Raw genomic sequence first — 18,304 nt, 5'->3', positions numbered from 1 at the left:
TAAGCACATTTGTTTCTGGTGGCGTTTTAATGCAATACTCTTTATTTTCTAAATGATTCTTTTGGTTTTGAATTACTTTTATAATTTGGAGGTCAACATGCCTTAGGTTTTAATGTTTTCATTGATTCATTAGTAAATGCATCTCTTCAAATAACACACTGTTATTTTAGCACGTAAGTACCAAATATGGCTACAAAACTGCATTCAGTGCATGAAAGATCATACTTCTTAGGTACTAAGAGCCCCACAATGAATGCAAATCATACCCCCACCCACCACCCCAGACCTCCCCATCCCTCCAGTGAATGAAACATTTCTTTAAATGGAAGCACCACTAGATAATGATAACATTGCTACGCTATGCTGGGATTGACTGGACACCCTTATAGCTTGAAGGGATTCAGCCTAGAGTGAGTTCTTTGTGGGGCTTTTAGTACCTAAGTAAAACTAGTACAGCTTCATAGTTTCCATTTTTTTAGAATCTTGTCTATTGTTATCGTTTAATTAACAAGAACAATCAGTATAGGCCGGTCTTTTCTTAACAAAATAGTTTAGTGAAGCTTGTTTTCTATCTGTAAGTTGGGATTACCATTAATAATATGAATTTCAGTTCTCTAATATAGCTAATGACAATAAAAGTAGATTTCAGACAGACTTGATTAAAATTAAAATTAGTGTAAGCAAAAAGTTACATATCTCATATACATTTATACTTTTTCTGATTTTTAAACACTTTTGGGTAACAGCTGACAAAAGTATCCTTAAAAGTCACACTTCATGCAATCCTATTGTACATGACTAGTAGGCAGCTTGCATTACATGTGACTCACTAGGAAAGGGTGACAACTCACGCTGTTTCAGCGATAAGTGTGAAATTGCTATAAAAGCATCTAAACGCTTACTGTCAAATTTCATAATTATCTTGTCACAGACCCACAACAAATAGCTTGTGGATTGTCACTGGTCCATGAATGACATTTTGCATAGCACTAAAATAAATTCCTCCCCAAAGGCCCTTATGAAACCATTATAAATTATCTAATATCTCCTGAGAGATGCTGGACTGATAAACTGCTCTCTCAGACGCTAAGATTACGGATTAGATTTGGCCATGATTGTCAAAATAAAGCAAAATAATGCCATTTACACAAGAGAGCAGTTCTTTTCTCACATGAAAGGAGTCTGAATTGGAGGTGGGAAAGGTAGTCAGTGATTCTTTGCATCAGGGATCCAGGGTTCTTCTGTCTTGTTGTTTCACTGGACATGGCTTTCTTACTCAAAGAACTTCATCATCCAAAATGGCTACAGGAACTCCAGCCATCAGATCCACATTCCAGCTAGCTGGAAGGAGGCAGGTGGGTTGGTAAAGCAACTCCTCTTTTTAAGGAACTTCTTGGAAGTTGCATTCACTGTTATGCGTACGTTTCATTGGCAGAAGCTTTAGTTGCTAAGCCATACCAAATTATAAGAGATGCATTCAGTTGTCTATTTGTCTATTGTTACCATTTAGTTAACAGATGCATTCAATTTAAAATATTATAATCAACTTGCTTTTTTTTTGCATAAGAACATACTTTTTATGTGAAGGTTTCCAGTCCAGGTGCTAGACTGGAAAGTTTTCCAGACAAAAGCATGAATAACTTTGGAAAATGGCTGTTAGGAACACTCATGACCTAGGCTGAAAACCTTCAAGGGGAGACTGCCTATGCGAGGTGCCAGGGATATGGCAGTGGACAAGGCAAGGGCTGTCATCGAAGAGGTTGCAGTCTAGTAGAGGGGTCACAGGCAAACAGGGAATGGCAACATGGTAGGAAATGGGCTTTGAAGGATACTGCTGGAGTGATTTCACAGGAAAATACAAGATTTCAAATTGGAATCAGATGCAGGCCATTCTTTTGAAAGTGATATGTCCTGCGGAAGTCCTGCTGATTAGCTAAAAATATATTTGAAGACAGACAGATTGACATTATATTTGTTAACATAAAACTGCCAGTTTGTTTCCCTAAATGCAGGTCAAGCCTAGGTAGGAACACCCATGATTAGAGAAATCCCAGGTCTTAGATATCCTAGAAAGAAGGCTCTCTGTAGCAGCACATTATTAACAGGAGTTTATATCCCTCCACATAAGAAAACATAAACTAGGAAAAGGGGCTTTTTGTTCTTTAATCATAGATGAATGTGGTTTTATCAGTAGAAGTTATTCACCTATTAAAAAATGTCCACTTGTTCAGATTAATAAATTAGAATCAAGGGACTTCTAAAATGCTTGCACGTTGGTAAATATGTGAGTATAGACATAGATATGTAGATATTTTGTCAATTATATATGTATATATATACACATACATATATGTATATATACACACACACATATGTATATATATACACACACATGTGTGTGTATGTGTGTGTGTGTATATATGTATATATGTATATATACATATATATATATACTTAAATTCTAGGGTACATGTGCACAACGTTCAGGTTTGTTACATAGGTATACATGTGCCATGTTGGTTTGCTGCACCCATCAACTTGTCATTTACATTAGGTATTTGTCCTGATGCTATCCCTCCCCAAGTCCCCCAACTCCCGACAGGTCCCAGTGTGTGATGTTCCCCGCCCTGTGTCCAAGTGTTCTCATTTTTTAAATTCCCACCAATGAGTGAGAACATGAGGTGTGTGGTTTTCTGTCCTTGTGATAGTTTGCCAAGAATGATGGTTTCCAGCTTCATCTATGTCCCTGCAAAGGACACCAACTCATCCTTTTTTATGGCTGCATAGTATTCCATGGTGTATATGTGCCACATTTTCTTAATCCATTCTGTCATTGATGGGTATTTGGGTTGGTTCCATTTCTTTGCTATTGTGAATACTGCTGCAGTAAACATACGTGTGCATGTGTCTTTATAGCAGCATGATTTAAAATCCTTTAGGTATATACCCAGTAATGGGATGGCTGGGTCAAATGGTATTTCTAGTTCTGGATCCTTGAGAAATCACCACACTGTCTTCCACAATGGTTGAACTGATTTACACTCCCACCAACAGTGTAAAAGCGTTCCTATTTCTCCACATCCTCTCCAGCATCTGTGGTTTCCTGACTAATGATCGCCATTCTAACTGGCACGAGATGGTATCTCATTGTGGTTTTGATTTGCATTTCTCTGATGACAGTGATGATGAGCATTTTTTCATGTGTCTGTTGGCTGCATAAATGTCTTCTTTTGAGAAATGTCTGTCATATCCTTTGCCCACTTTTTGATGGGGTTGTAAATCTGTTTAAGTTCTTTGTAGATTCTGGATATTAGCCCTTTGTCAGATGGGTAGTTTGCAAAAATGTTCTCCCATTCTGTAGGTTGCCTGTTCATTCTGATGATAGTTTCTTTTGCCGTGCAGAAGGTCTTTAGTTTAATTAGATCCCATTTGTCAATTTTGGCTTTTGTTGCATTGCTTTTGGTGTTTTAGACATGAAGTCCTTGCCCATGCCTATGTCCTGAATGGTATTGCCTAGGTTGTCTTCTAAGGTTTTTATGGTTTTAGGTCTAACATTTAAGTCTTTAATCCATCTTGAATTAATTTTTGTATAAGGTATAAGGAAGGGATGCAGTTTCAGCTTTCTACATATGGCTAGCCAGTTTTCCCAGCATCATTTATTAAATAGGGAATCCTTTCCCTATTGCTTGTTTTTGGGAGGTTTGTCAAAGATCACATGGTTGTAGTTGTGTGGTGTTATTTCTGAGGCCTCTGTTCTGTTCCATTGGTCTATATATCTGTTTTGGTACCAGTACCATGCTGTTTGTTTTGGTTACTGTATCCTTGTAGTATAGTTTGAAGTCAGGTAACATGAAGCCTCCAGCTTTGTTATTTTTGCTTAGGATTGTCTTGGCAATGCAGGCTGTTTATTGGTTCCATATGAACTTTAAAGTAGTTTCTTCTAATTCTGTGAAGAAAGTCATTGCTAGCTTGATGGGGATGGCACTGAATCTATGAATTACCTTGGGCAGTATGGCCATTTTCACAACATTGATTCTTTCTATCCAAGAGCATGGAATGTTCTTCCATTTGTTTGTGTCCTCTTTTATTTCGTTGAGCAGTGGTTTGTAGTTCTCCTTGAAGATGTCCTTCACATCCCTTGTAACTTGGATTCCTAGGTATTTTATTCTCTTTGTAGCAGTTGTGAGTGGGAGTTCACTCATGATTTGGCTCTCTGTCTGTTATTGGTGTATAAGAATGCTTGTGATTTTTGCACATTGATTTTGTATCCTGAGACTTTGCTGAAGTTGCTTATCAGCTTAAGGAGATTTTGGACTGAGACGATGGGGTTTTCCAAATGTATAATCATGTCATTTGCAAACAGGCACAATTTGACTTCCTCTTTTCCTAACTGAATACCCTTTATTTCTTTCTCTTGCCTGATTATCCTGGCCAGAACTTCCAACACTCTGTTGAATAGGAGTGGTGAGAGAGGGTATCCTTGTCTTGTGCTGGTTTTCCATGGGAATGCTTCCAGTTTTTGCCCATTCAGTGTGATATTCGCTGTGGGTTTGTCGTAAATAGCTCTTATTATTTTGAGATACATACTGTCAATTTTTGTTTAGACTTATTTCTTTGTGGATAAGACCTTGCTGCTGCGGTCTGTGAACCAGACATTTATAATAAATCAGAAAGCAGCTACCTTCACATATATCCAATTATTGAGTTCTCTCAAAGAGGGATTTTTTTCTAGTATTTTAAAGCTTTGTTTTTCATAGATCTTATCTTGTTTTCTTTCAGAGGTTTCATTCCATTCCCCTATTGTTAAATTCTTCCAGATTGCTATTTTTGAAATCTGCCTCAGAAGAAAGCTATTATGGAGTCTCATATTTGTGGGATTTTCTAATATTTCCTTTACATAGCCTTTCTCAATAATTTTAAATCAAATTCATTAGTTTTCCTTTGGCAGTCTCAGGGCAATTGTTTTTCACATCTCTCTTGGAACTCCTATCAGGTCAGGTGTTAAAGTTCTGCAAGGGCAGCATTGGTTTCCACTCCCCAACCCACCTCTAGATTGAAACATTTTTGAGAAAATCAGTGTCTCATTTATATTCTCTCCTTTATCATCTATTGTGAACTGGATTGTGCCCTCTCCCATTCATATTTGGGACCCTAACCCCCATTGTGACTGTATATACAGACAGCAGCTTTAAGAAGGTGATTAAGGTTAAATGAGGTTATAAGAGTAGGGCTTAATATGATAGGAATGATGTCTTTATAAGAAGAGGAAGGGGCACCAGTAAACTGTCTCTCTCTCTCTCCCCTCCCCCTTCTTCTCTCCTCTCCTTCTCTCTCTCTCTCTCTCTCTCTCTGTCTCTGCATACAAAGAGAAAAGTTCATGTGAGGACACAGAGAGGAGGCAGGTGTCTGTCAGCCTCAATATAGACACCAAATTTTCCAGTACCTTGATCTTGGACTTCTAGCATCCAGAACTGTGAAAAAATAAATTTAAGTTGTTTAAGCTACCCAGTGTGTGATATTTTATAACAATAGCCTTAGCAGCTGAATACATTATTCAGCATATAATTCCTAGTCAATAGGTATTTGCTTGTCTACTATTGACTATAACTCATTTATTATGGGGAAAAATTTGGTTTATAATTATCTTACATTCTTGTCACAAAAAGCATCTCTAAGAGCCAATTTAAATGCTTTTCCCCAACTGCTTCCCATAAACACACACACACACACAGGCACGCACACATGCACACACCAGGCATTAGCCATTTTGAGTTTAAAGAATGGCCAGTAAATTTCTTTTCATAATCATGGAAATTTCCTAATTGCACCCTTTGGATAGGAGAGACATGTTTCTCAAGAATCCTGTTCCTTGGAAGATATGTCATTCTTTTATGTTTGTTTTTGATGTCTGATTCCATAACTCTTTGCTCAGTTGTTTGTCATTGGAGGGATCCCTGCACCTGTCCACACAGGAAGGTGGAACAAAGGGGAAGGGTATATTTTAAGCAGCATGGATTCATTTATTCATTCATTTAATTATTCAGAACACTTTTATAATATCTACTCTTTTCCAATCACTGTTCTGGGAGCTATAACTACAAGGCTGAAAAGACAACATGTCCCTACTTTCAAGTTTACAATCTAGTGGTGGATGAGGCAGGCAATATACATATGAACAAACAGATAAACAAGGTAGGTGTAGATAGTGATAAGTTCTCCAGAATTCTAAGGACAGCTCTCCTCCACCTTCCAGAAACTAGTAGGGCCCACCAGGTTAGGAGCCATAGATCCTGAGGGGACCCAATAGTCTGTGAGTTGCCCCCAGGATCTTATATGTGGCTGACACATACAATTTTTCAGTTTTAATATTTTATCGTCTTGGTTAAATACCTATCTCATTTAAGTGACAAGTGCCTGGGGTGCTACTTTTAGCAAGTTTGTAAAGAGGAAATGTCAACTCATTCTATGTAGAGGAGAGATCTTTTTTTATTTTGTTTTATTTTATTTTATTTTATTTTATTTTATTTTATTTTATTTTATTTTATTATACTTTAAGTTTTAGGGTACATGTGCACAATGTGCAGGTTAGTTACATATGTATACATGTGCCATACTGGTGCGCTGCACCCACCAACTCGTCATCTAGCATTAGGTATATCTCCCAATGCTATCCCTCCCCCCTCCCACCACCCCACAACAGTCCCCAGAGTGTGATGTTCCCCTTCCTGTGTCCATGTGTTCTCATTGTTCAATTCCCACCTGTGAGTGAGAATATGCAGTGTTTGGTGTTTTGTTCTTGTGATAGTTTACTGAGAATGATGATTTCCAATTTCATCCATGTCTCTACAAAGGACATGAACTCATCATTTTTTATGGCTGCATAGTATTCCATGGTGTATATGTGCCACATTTTCTTAATCCAGTTTATCATTGTTGGACATTTCGGTTGGTTCCAAATCTTTGCTATTGTGAATAGTGCCGCAATAAACATACATGTGCATGTGTCTTTATAGCAGCATGATTTATAATCCTTTGGGTATACACCCGGTAATGGGATGGCTGGGTCAAATGGTATTTCTAGTTCTAGATCCCTGAGGAATCGCCACACTGACTTCCACAATGGTTGAACTAGTTTACAGTCCCACCAACAGTGTAAAAGTGTTCCTATTTCTCCACATCCTCTCCAACACCTGTTGTTTCCTGACTTTTTAATGATCGCCATTCTAACTGGTGTGAGATGGTATCTCATTGTGGTTTTGATTTGCATTTCTCTGATGGCCAGTGATGATGAGCATTTTTTCATGTGTTTTTTGGGTGAATAAATGTCTTCTTTTGAGAAGTGTCTGTTCATGTCCTTCACACACTTTTTGATGGGGTTGTTTGTTTTTTTCTTGTAAATTTGTTTGAGTTCATTGTCGATTCTGGATATTAGCCCTTTGTCAGATGAGTAGGTTGCGAAAATTTTCTCCCATTTTGTAGGTTGCCTATTCACTGTGATGGTAGTTTCTTTTGCTGTGCAGAAGCTCTTTAGTTTAATTAGATCCCATTTGTCAATTTTGGCTTTTGTTTGCCATTGCTTTTAGTGTTTTAGACATGAAGTCCTTGCCCATGCCTATGTCCTGAATGGTAATGCCTAGGTTTTCTTCTAGGGTTTTTATGGTTTGAGGTCTAACATTTAAGTCTTTAATCCATCTTGAATTAATTTTTGTATAAAGTGTAAGGAAGGGATCCAGTTTCAGCTTTCTACATATGGCTAGCCAGTTTTCCCAGCACCATTTATTTAAATAGGGAATCCTTTCCCCATTGCTTGTTTTTCTCAGGTTTATCAAAGATCAGATATTTGTAGATATGCGGCGTTATTTCTGAGGGCTCTGTTCTGTTCCATTGATCTATATATCTGTTTTGGTACCAGTACCAGGCTGTTTTGGTTACTGTAGCCTTGTAGTATAGTTTGAAGTCAGGTAGCGTGATGCCTCCAGCTTTGTTCTTTTGGCTTAGGATTGACTTGGCGATGCAGGCTCTTTTTTGGTTCCATAAGAACTTTAAAGTAGATTTTTCCAATTCTGTGAAGAAAGTCATTGGTAGCTTGATGGGGATGGCATTGAATCTATAAATTACGTTGGGCAGTATGGCCATTTTCACGATATTGATTCTTCCTACCCATGAGCATGGAATGTTCTTCCATTTGTTTGTATCCTCTTTTATTTCCTTGAGCAGTGGTTTGTAGTTCTCCTTGAAGAGGTCCTTTACGTCCCTTGTAAGTTGGATTCCTAGGTATTTTATTCTCTTTGAAGCAATTGTGAATGGGAGTTCACTCATGATTTTGCTCTGTGTTTGTCTGTTATTGGTGTATAAGAATGCTTGTGATTGTTGTACATTTATTTTGTATCCTGAGACTTTGCTGAAGTTGCTTATCAGCTTAAGGAGATTTTGGGCTGAGACAATGGGGTTTTCTAGATATACAATCATGTCATCTGCAAATAGGGACAATTTGACTTCCTCTTTTCCTAATTGAATACCCTTTATTTCCTTCTCCTGCCTGATTGCCCGGGCCAGAACTTCCAACACTATGCTGAATAGGAGTGGTGAGAGAGGGCATCCCTGTCGTGTGCCAGTTTTCAAAGGGAATGCTTCCAGTTTTTGCCCATTCAGTATGATATTGGCTGTGGGTTTGTCATAGATAGCTCTTATTATTTTGAGATACGTCCCATCAATACCTAATTTATCGAGAGTTTTTAGCATGAAGCGTTGTTGAATTTTGTCAAAGGCCTTTTCTGCATCTATTGAGATAATCATGTGGTTTTTGTCTTTGGTTCTGTTTATATGCTGGATTACATTTATTGATTTGCATATATTGAAGCAGCCTTGCATCCCAGGGATGAAGCCCACTTGATCATGATGGATAAGCTTTTTGATGTGCTGCTGGATTGGGTTTGCCAGTATTTTATTGAGGATTTTTGCATCAATGTTCATCAAGGATACTGGTCTAAAATTCTCTTTTTTGGTTGTGTCTCTGCTAGGCTTCGGTATCAGGATCTTCGAATAAGTTTTATTTATTTAGGAAAGGAGGTGCATGTTCTTGAACAGAAAATTCTCTGGGCAGCTAGATAGATGATTACACAATTACACAGATAATCCTCATCTTAGAACATTATTATAAATTATTTTAAAAATGAAAAATTGCTACATCTGTGGAAGGTGAGATTTTGGGGTCACATGATAGAGTAATAGATAAATTCATAGGTGGAATACCAGTGCAATAATTGGAAATATAACCTCAAGGCACCTTTTTTTTTTTTGCAGTAAGGGTATATATCTCTGTGTTTGTCATTACTTGTGAAAAATAATTAAAATTTGAACTGCTTTTAATTACACTTGGTAGACTGGTTCTCTTTTTATGCAATTTTATACTTAGAGGTAATTACATGGAGGTTTTCCTTTTAGGGTTACGTATGACTTTCCACCATTCTATGCTACTCTCTAGAAAAGAGTTCTGGACACGCAGAGTATTTTAAATTCAGGGTTTGTGGAAGATTATATTCTTATACACGACGATTGAAAGACAGACATCTCCAAATTTTCTCATTAACCACAGATCAGTTATATACCAGAAAAAAATGGTATGCCTTAAAGTTCAATTTTGTCAGTATTTTTCACTGGATTCATGAAAAAGTTAGATACTAAAAATTTTTGGTAGAATGCGTGGGGACAATAGGTTAAAGACAATCTAAGATTGTGAATTTAGTAGTTACATTTGAGTTCATTGTGTGTTTAATAATTCATTTTTAATAATTAAATGCTCAATAACTCAACTTATTGAATATAATAATAAGCTCATTGGCATCATATTGCCTTACCTTTCAAGCCTCAGCCTACTAATCGATTGTTCAGGAAGCATAATGCACATTATCCTGTCCTGATTCTATTACTCAAGAACCACACACAGAGGAGGGAAAGAGGGACAGCATTGGGATAAATAGCTAATGCATGCAGGGCTTGATACCTAGGTGAGAGGTTGATAGATGCGAAGCACCGTGGCACACGTTTACCCGTGTAACAAACTTGCACATCCTGCACATGTCCCTTGGAACTTATAAAAATAAAGAATTCAACAATTATTCACGGTTTAAGAAATATGCTTTCTTCAGTATTTGGTATTTTTTCTATTTCCCCACTCTCTGCCAAAAGTACATTCAGGCACCTCAGAAGCAACCAAGTCGCATCTTTTTTCTCTCTAAATTATCAAGGCAGAGGTCTCATTTCTCTACTTCCTTTGCCTGAGTAGAAAGGGTAACTCAGTGAAAGTGCTGTGTGTGACGTGTCTGGGAAAGCTACATGGGGGAAGCAAACACACCTGTTATGGAAACATCTGTGAGTTTTCCCAAGGAGAGCAAGAAGCACTTGTGTGTCCGCAACAGATGGTGCTCCTCCCGCTAACCGCAGAGTCATGCCCATCTGTCCATCTGTCCAATATAGTACAGTTGCACCGCCTGAATTTGCTCACTTTTGATTCCCTGATCCTGTTGGAATAGCAGGCTATGGCATTCCTGTGGGAAAATGTACTGTGTACCACAGTGGTTCGAATTATGTACTGGAATTTAGTAAGTAAAACCCTGGAATAACCAACTTTCCTCATCGTATGTCCTAATGACCCCTTTGAATCTCACATACTCTTCTTGTAAAATGGTCCAAATGGCATTCCTGGAGGGGGTCCATAGATTATATAGTGTATTAGTCTGCTGAAGTTGCCTTAACAAAATACTGAGTAGCTTAAATGACATAAATCTATTTCTCATTGTTCTGGAGGCTGGAAGTCCAACATCAGGATTCCAGCATGATCAGATTCTAGGGAGGGCCCTCTTACTGGCTCCCAGATTACTTCCTTTTACTGTGTCCTTACCTGACAGAGAGAGGCAGAGAGAGAGAGAGAATCAGTCCCTTCTTTTAATAAACCCACGAGTCCTATTGGATTAGGGTCTCACCCTAATGACAATGACCTCATTTAACCTTAATTAGGTTCAATGTTCCATCTCTAAATAAAAGCCCTATCTCCAAATACAGTTACATTGTGGGGAAGTGGTTAGGGCTTCAAATATGAATTTTGGGGAGCACAATTCAGTCCATAGCATATAGATATGTGAGGATTAAGTGATTAAAAGGTCAATTTTTTTTGAATGCCTATTTAAGAAAAGTCATTTAGGGGTTTCATTTTCTTTAACACAAATCACAAGTTTAAAATGTGACTTTAACCCAAGTCACATTTTCTTTAACTCAAAACTCTTTAAAAGTTCTTGGTCAAGTATTATCATTCATTGAATGATGTTTTCCTTGGTTTGAAAACTAGTGAAGGGTGATGGGAACTTGTGGCGAGTTAGGGAGGAGAAGGGGCGCAATCTTAGCGAGGAAGAGGGAGGAGCATAATGGGAAGAACATTTGGTGCAATATTCGCTGAGTTCTAGCTCAGATTTAATCTAAGTTTTATCAGTCAAATGGAGACCTTGATAATTACTTTTTAAAAAAAAGTTTTATTGTAATTGACAAATAATTTTGTATATTTATGGGGTACAATGTGACTTTTTGATACATGTATATACACTGTGGAATGAGCAAATCAGGCTAATTAGCATATTTATTTTCTGAAACAATTATTTCGTTGCGGTAAGAACATTAAAATTCTCTTTGTTTAGCTATTTTGAAATATATAATACATTACTATTAACTATAGACACTGTGCTGTGCAATAGAACACCAGAATTATTCCTCCTAACTGAAACTTTGTATCCGTAGAGCAATGTGGACATTTTCCCTGTCTAACTCCCCACAGCCAATTCCGGGTTTATACCCAAAGATATTTAAATCAGTATTTCAAAGGGATGTTTGAGCTCCTGTGTTCATTGCAGCATTATTCACAAGAGCCAAGATAAGGAATCAACCTAAGTGTCCGTCAGCTGATGAACAGATTTTTTAAAATGTGCTGAATATACAAAATAGGATACTATTTAGCCTTAAAAAAAAAAACAGGCAATTCTGCCATTTTCAAACAGGGATGAACCTAAGGACATTATGTTAAGTAAGATAAGTCAGGCACAGAGCGACAAATACCATATGATCTCACTTATATGTGGAATCTAAAAAGGTAGAAATTGTAGAATTAGAGAGTGGAATATTGATGACTACTTCTTAATGTGTATTTGGAGTTTGAATGACTAAATATACATAAAGCGCTTATATTTGAACATATAAGATGTTACAGATATTTTTTCTGTCCCTTGCCCCATCTTTCCTAGTATAATAAAGTTATGCTACAAGTTAGTCACTTACGAATTCCAATTTGAGGATTCAGTTTGTGACTTTTGCTGGTTCTGAGAAATCAAGAAATACTGAGCCATTGCATGAACAGTGTCACTAAGTATAAGAACCTGAGAAGTTCAACTTCAACAATTCTTAAAGTCTCCCTTGAGTAGAAGGTGAATGAACTGTCATAATTGGGCAAGAAGTGAGTTTATTCTGATTGCAACAGTAGGCAGCTATTAAGAGACGAGTGTAACTCTGGATAGAAGTTTCTATGGTTTCTGCCTTCAGCCTTGTCATGTTCAACATTCTAATCAAGACCTAGATCAAAGGAGAAGTTGATGAGCTTAGTATTCAGCTGAGAGAGATGGGCTATGTTGGCTAGAAATTAAGCAATGAGCTCAATCTAGAAGATACAAGTTCTGAAGTTGGACTCTTAGAAGCAACTGAGGCTCAAGCACTTCTGTAGGCACTACATTCTGGGTAATTTAAAAAATGTGTATACTTATTCTCACATCCTTTAAGCTCAGCTGAAATCTACTCTGCAAAGTCATGCTTGAACCCTTGCTTTGAGCTAAGTGTTCTGTCAATTCCAACATATACACCTGTAATAAAACTGCTGAAATAATGTTAAAGACTCTTTAAAGCCAGGATCTTTACCATATTAATTTTCGTACTCCCAATGTCTAGCGTAGTGCCCAGCACATAAGGAATTTCCAATAAATTATCGGCTGTTGCTAGAATAAAAATTCAAAAGTAGGCAGTGTTGAGTTGGCAACTTAATTTTCTAAAAAGTATTAATTGCCTGCCTATATGGACAATAGAAACAACAACAACAAGAATATCCTGCCAATAAATCAGGCTTTTTGGCTGGTGCCTTGTAGTGCCTTGTAAATATTAGTAAGCATGTTTCCTATTCTAAAGTAGGTTTAAAAAAAAAAAAACTTAAATTCAGTAACTTCGTTTCACCTTCTTGAAGAACCTGCATTTCCTTTACATTTATAACCATTAGAGTGAGGCATGTTAAATAATTCAAATGAGAAATCCTAGTTTCCACCTTTATGTATCTCTCGGGTTTTCCTTTGTTCACCCAGTCTCCTGCAAAAATCATCAAATGTTCAAATTTATAGTTTGTGACTTGGTCACCCTGAACCTCTTGGTGACCCGGAATGAACATGAGATGCTGTTATTTAGCACTTGGAGCTCAGTTAGATATTAGTTTTCCTATAGTGAAATACTCTGATGCCAGTGAGGAAGGAAATCAGAAACAGGAATCAGACGATTCTGGCCAATCCTCCCAATACGAGGAGAGTGTCACTGACGGAAATGGGTCTGGATACTGGGTTTCTCTCTCCTAAATCCTTTGATGCCAGTTATTAAAATGGGTTACTTCTTACAGCCATGACATTGAACACTTCAATGAAATGATGCAAGATTTGGACTCCAAAATGTCCCCTCTCTCCCCTGTCAGCAGCATGAGCCTGAGCACGGCAAGAGTCAGCCAATATAGTGCACACACGCTTTGTTGAACTCATGTTCTTCCACCCAGGAGACTGAGGTTTCTGTGCAAAGAGTAATGTCAATCCGCTGGAAATCACTGGGTTGTCTGTTTCTTTGTTTATGACTTCTCCATATAGTTGGTTCTGCTCCAACTTATTTGAAAGGGACATCTGTTGGATGATTTGATGTGATGTCTGTTCCCTGAAAGTCATTTCTGACAGGGCGATGTAAAGGAACCTGAGAGGGAGCTCCGTCATGTGATGAGTGGCTCTTAAGTGCAGGAACAGATTTGAGAGGATTATCCAAGACAGTAACTTCAAGATCAAACTAGGCCATGGAGTTAGCCATAAGGCTCTGCAAATTCTTTGCGGCTCAGCCCTCTGGGGTCTCCTGCCACCGTGCTTGCCAGTAATGAATTTCACTTCCATGTGGGATCTTTCAGGTCTTCTTGACACACTGAAGCCATATGTGTTTCAGCCACTTCAGACATCATCCTGCTCTTTAACTTGAAGAACAGTCTAAGTCAGTGAGGTTTGCCATGGCATCAAATCTCCTTTTAAACCCACACCGCTTGAATAATAACTATGATTCTGGATAGTTGACTCATGAATATTTCCTGCGAAGGAACAATGAGGGTATTCTGAGGAAATTAAATCCATACAAGTAATTCCCAAACTTTATTCATGTTTGAATACTTTCTAACTTCAAATGTTTTTACCAGACTGGTAACACATAGCAAAATCAACTGATAAGATTGTCCTTTTTTCTTTCTTCCTCTTCCTCTACCTAACACTTCTCTAGTGTGGTACTAACTGGAGAAGGCACAAAGAGTAAGTAGATAGAAAGGGAAATGAAAAGTCAAAGAGCCCTACACTTTTTTTTCCCCCCTCTCTCCTGGTAGTCCTACTTCAAAGGCAGTGTAGCTTTCTCAGAAAGGCCAACCCACACTCAGAGGGTGAAGTTGGAAAACCCCAGCAACCCTATGATACACAATAAACCCATGTAAGGAGGTGGTCCCTTACAAACAGTTGGCTATGAATATCTTCTTTCAAATAGTCTGACACTCGTGGCATAATTATTTTTGTAAGAGTCCTCAGGAAAGTCTGTTTTGAAATACTGCATAGCTTAAGACTACAATAGTACCTTGCATAGTTCAATGTAAACATATCCAGGTGGCTTGTGAAGAAGAGAGGAAGCCAGAGGTGATGCTTCTCTATAGGAAAATGACACTGCAGCCAGCCCCCCGAATCCTGAGAAGACCCTAAATACACCACTCCCCCTCCCCGACAACTACCCAAGTGATATCCTGTGAGTGACTGGATTCTAATCTATCGAATAGTTTCTGTACATGAAAAAAAAATCAATTTTGGAATAAGAGTTGCCAGCAGAAAGATTTCCATTTATTAGGCACCTACCAGGTGCCTGATTCTATTGGGTACATTAAAGATATTCTTTCATTTAGTTCTCACCTGGAAACTCTCAAGGCTTGTTCACATTTTACTGATGAGAGAAATAAGGCACAAGAAGATTAAACAAACAATCCAGGCCAACTCAAGTGGAGGGATGTGTGGTTGAGTTCAGGTCTGCCTGTAAATCGCTTGAGGCCAGAAACTTTTCTCTATTTTGTTCACTGATGTGTCCCAAGTGCCCAGAAGAATGCCTGGCAAATTGTAGCTGCTTAGTAAATATTGAATGATTACCTTAATGAGAGAATCCAGCACGTGTACTCCTAAGTATTATTCTCTACAGTTTCTCCTCAGTCTCCTCACTCCAGTCTGTTACCTGCCCCTTTCTCCCATCCCATTTCAAAGGGAAATGGAGCCCAGAGCTGCAGTGGATGCTGTAGAAAGTTATATCTCTGTGTACATCCTGCTGAAGGAATGGAGCGATTGTCAGGGAGCTGTGTCATTGAGTCTGAGGCCTTACTTCCTTGCTCTCCCCCTTCTATTTCCTGCTTCCTCCCACAAAGATTTTCTGAGTCCTTGCTGTGTGCTGAGCACTGGAGACTCACTATGAACAAAGTTGGTATGGTCCCTGTCCTTATGCAAATTATTGAATAAATTATAGGTACGGTGAGTGTTTTGACAGAGAGGTAAGAATGTTATAGAAACATATAACAAGAGGACTCAGACCTATTCTTTGAGGTCAGGAAAGACATCTTTGCAAATTTTAACTTTAAGACAAGATATTAAGGATAATTAAGAGTTCCTAATGTATACCTTGGGTTTCCTGGATGTCTCTGCCTAAGACACTTTTAGGGAGGAGTTAAGACTGTTTTCCTATAATACTAAGAAGTCATTTGCCTTTTCATTCTTATTGCATTACAAGTGTACAATGGAGTTTTACAGAAGCTGCATAACATAGATTTCACAACAGATTGAATGCAGAAGCAGACATGAGAATCCATTTATCCTTTAGTAAGCCAGATATTGGTAAGATTTGCAAAAAATGCATAACAGCACTACTAGTCTCACTCATGTATTTTTGGTTTTGGAAAACGTGGCTATGTTTTCATAAAATGTTATTTATGTTAAGGTATAATCAGTTTACTATGTTGTTTTAAAATGAATTAAATATTTAAAAAAGAATTGGTTCTAATTTGCAACATGATATAATGATATAATCTACCTTTTTTAAAATGAAAAGGTCTTTGGGGTTCTTCAGAAGATTTGAGAGCACAAAGGGGCCGAGCCCCAAAAGTTTGCGAATGGCTGAGCTAAGAGAAGAGGAGGAGGGAGTGTTCCACAGTGAATAAACAGCCTGTGTAAAAGCCCTTCCCTGGTATACGACTTGTAGTTTTGAGGATATTAAAGAAGTCCAATGTGGTTGGAACATAGAAAGTGATGGAGAGAGAATATAATATGCAGAACAATGGGTAAGCAGTGCCATATTTGAGAGCAATGACTTAATCTTAGGTCAGTGGGAAGTCACTGAAGGGTTTTAAGCAGGTTGGAATTGATGAGATACATGTTGAGAGAGGAAGGAAAAGGAAAGAAGAAAGGAAAAGAATGGGGGGACACAGAGAAGGGAGGTCAGGAGGCTTTTGGGGAAAACTTAGTAAGCTATGAGGGAGGGACAGTAGGGCTGGATAGAAGAGGATAGATGTAAATAATATTATGGAGAATCTAGAGGACTTGGGTTTGATTGTCAGTAGAGAGTGACTTGTTTTGTAAAAGAAGGAATGAATTTTCTCATGGTTTTTTAGTCATACCACTTGATTTTAAATTCTAGCGCTAATTCTGTGACTGTGAGCAAATTATTTAAACTCCATAAGCTACAATTTTCTCATCTGTAAAAAAAACAGGAACAAGAGCCACAATTTCATATGGTTGTTGAAGTTATTTTAAAATGCACACATATCTAATATAACTGGATTATCGTAATTATTTATTTGTTTCCCTTACCTTCTCTTTAACTCTCTTTCTTACCATTTTAAGATGGAGGGGGGAAGTTGGCAGTGTTCTTCAGGAAACATAAATTCTTGGGAAGGGAGTTTGGACACCATATGCAAAATCTCCTCCTGTGATTCCTCTACACACTGGAGGTGTGCTTTCCTCAAGCACTTGAAGCAAATGTGTTCTCTAGTCTCTTCTCTCTCTCTCTTTTTTTCCCTGAAGACTACTCTGTCATTTAAGTTCAGTTATTTTTGTCTTACCTGCTCACTTTGGACTTGAAACTTTGTCCCGTTCTTCTTGTTCCATAGTCTGATTCCTACTATTTTTTTCCTTCACCTTTCTCTTCCCAAAGTCTTAGGCTAGCCTTCTCTATTTCTCAGCTTTGTCATGCCCTTGACTTTGCAAGATTCTCTTTCCTGGCAACCACCATCTACAGACAAAATATTAATAACTTTGGAGGAGTTAGGACAGAGGCATTAAAATTATTGTAAATAAAGCCAGATAGTCCTTTTGACTGGGTCCTGAACTACCTTCTGTTATTCCTACAAGTATCTTTTGAAAGGCTGTTCTCAAATGCGTTGACTTGAGAATTTAGAGAAATATTCTTTCGGGCTGAAGGGAAAAGAGACAGAGAACTACAAGGTCACAGGACCATGACAATATGTTGCCTTTTGCCAAGTGGCCCTTATTAAACAGCCTAGGAGGTGAGTGGAGGAGAGCATGGGTCTGGCAGTCTGCCCTGGGACAAGGAGCTTTGTCTGCACGCAGGTTCCCAGCTCACAGACGGTCCATATTTGAATAGAGCCCATTGTTTACCACTTGGGTGGAAAACAGAGGAAATAGGCAATGAGTCAGGCACCCACTTGTTTCAAAAGGAATTTTTAAAAGAGTTTCAGGGAAATCTAAGAGAAAAATAGAAGTTTGAAGGAAGATGAAGGAGACAAGGACAAACTGAGGGCTGCTGGATGCTAATGACATGCTTTTCTTTGCTGATAGCCTATCATTCTGGGTCTGTGGGTTCCAACCCTGAACCTGAATCCAACAGGAAAGGTACTTCTGGAGAAGAGCTTCCACTCTGGGGAGGCATTCTGACTAAGATCTAATCTGAAGTAGTTTGG

At 38.2% G+C, this 18,304-nt stretch overlaps 2 long non-coding RNA genes across 3 annotated transcripts in view; one reads left to right on the top strand and one right to left on the bottom strand.

The window, feature by feature from the left end:
- LOC105370777 (uncharacterized) overlaps positions 1-18,304 on the top strand; it is a 556,255-nt gene that overhangs the window by 154,706 nt on the left and 383,245 nt on the right. The window lies entirely within an intron of this gene.
- Positions 11,510-15,686, bottom strand: LINC02915 (long intergenic non-protein coding RNA 2915). Of its 2 annotated transcripts, none has more exons than NR_144507.1 (2): positions 15,492-15,686; positions 11,510-14,407 (listed from the first exon to the last, which is right to left on the bottom strand). It is a non-coding gene; the product is annotated as a long intergenic non-protein coding RNA 2915 (long non-coding RNA). The 2 variants fall into 2 exon arrangements; NR_144508.1 differs by having other exon boundaries at positions 11,510-14,296.

This window comes from Homo sapiens, chromosome 15, assembly GCF_000001405.40.
Source record: "Homo sapiens chromosome 15, GRCh38.p14 Primary Assembly".
Taxonomy (NCBI): domain Eukaryota; kingdom Metazoa; phylum Chordata; class Mammalia; order Primates; family Hominidae; genus Homo; species Homo sapiens.
Note: the sequence above shows the minus strand (reverse complement) of the source record. Positions and strands in the feature narration are given on the sequence as shown.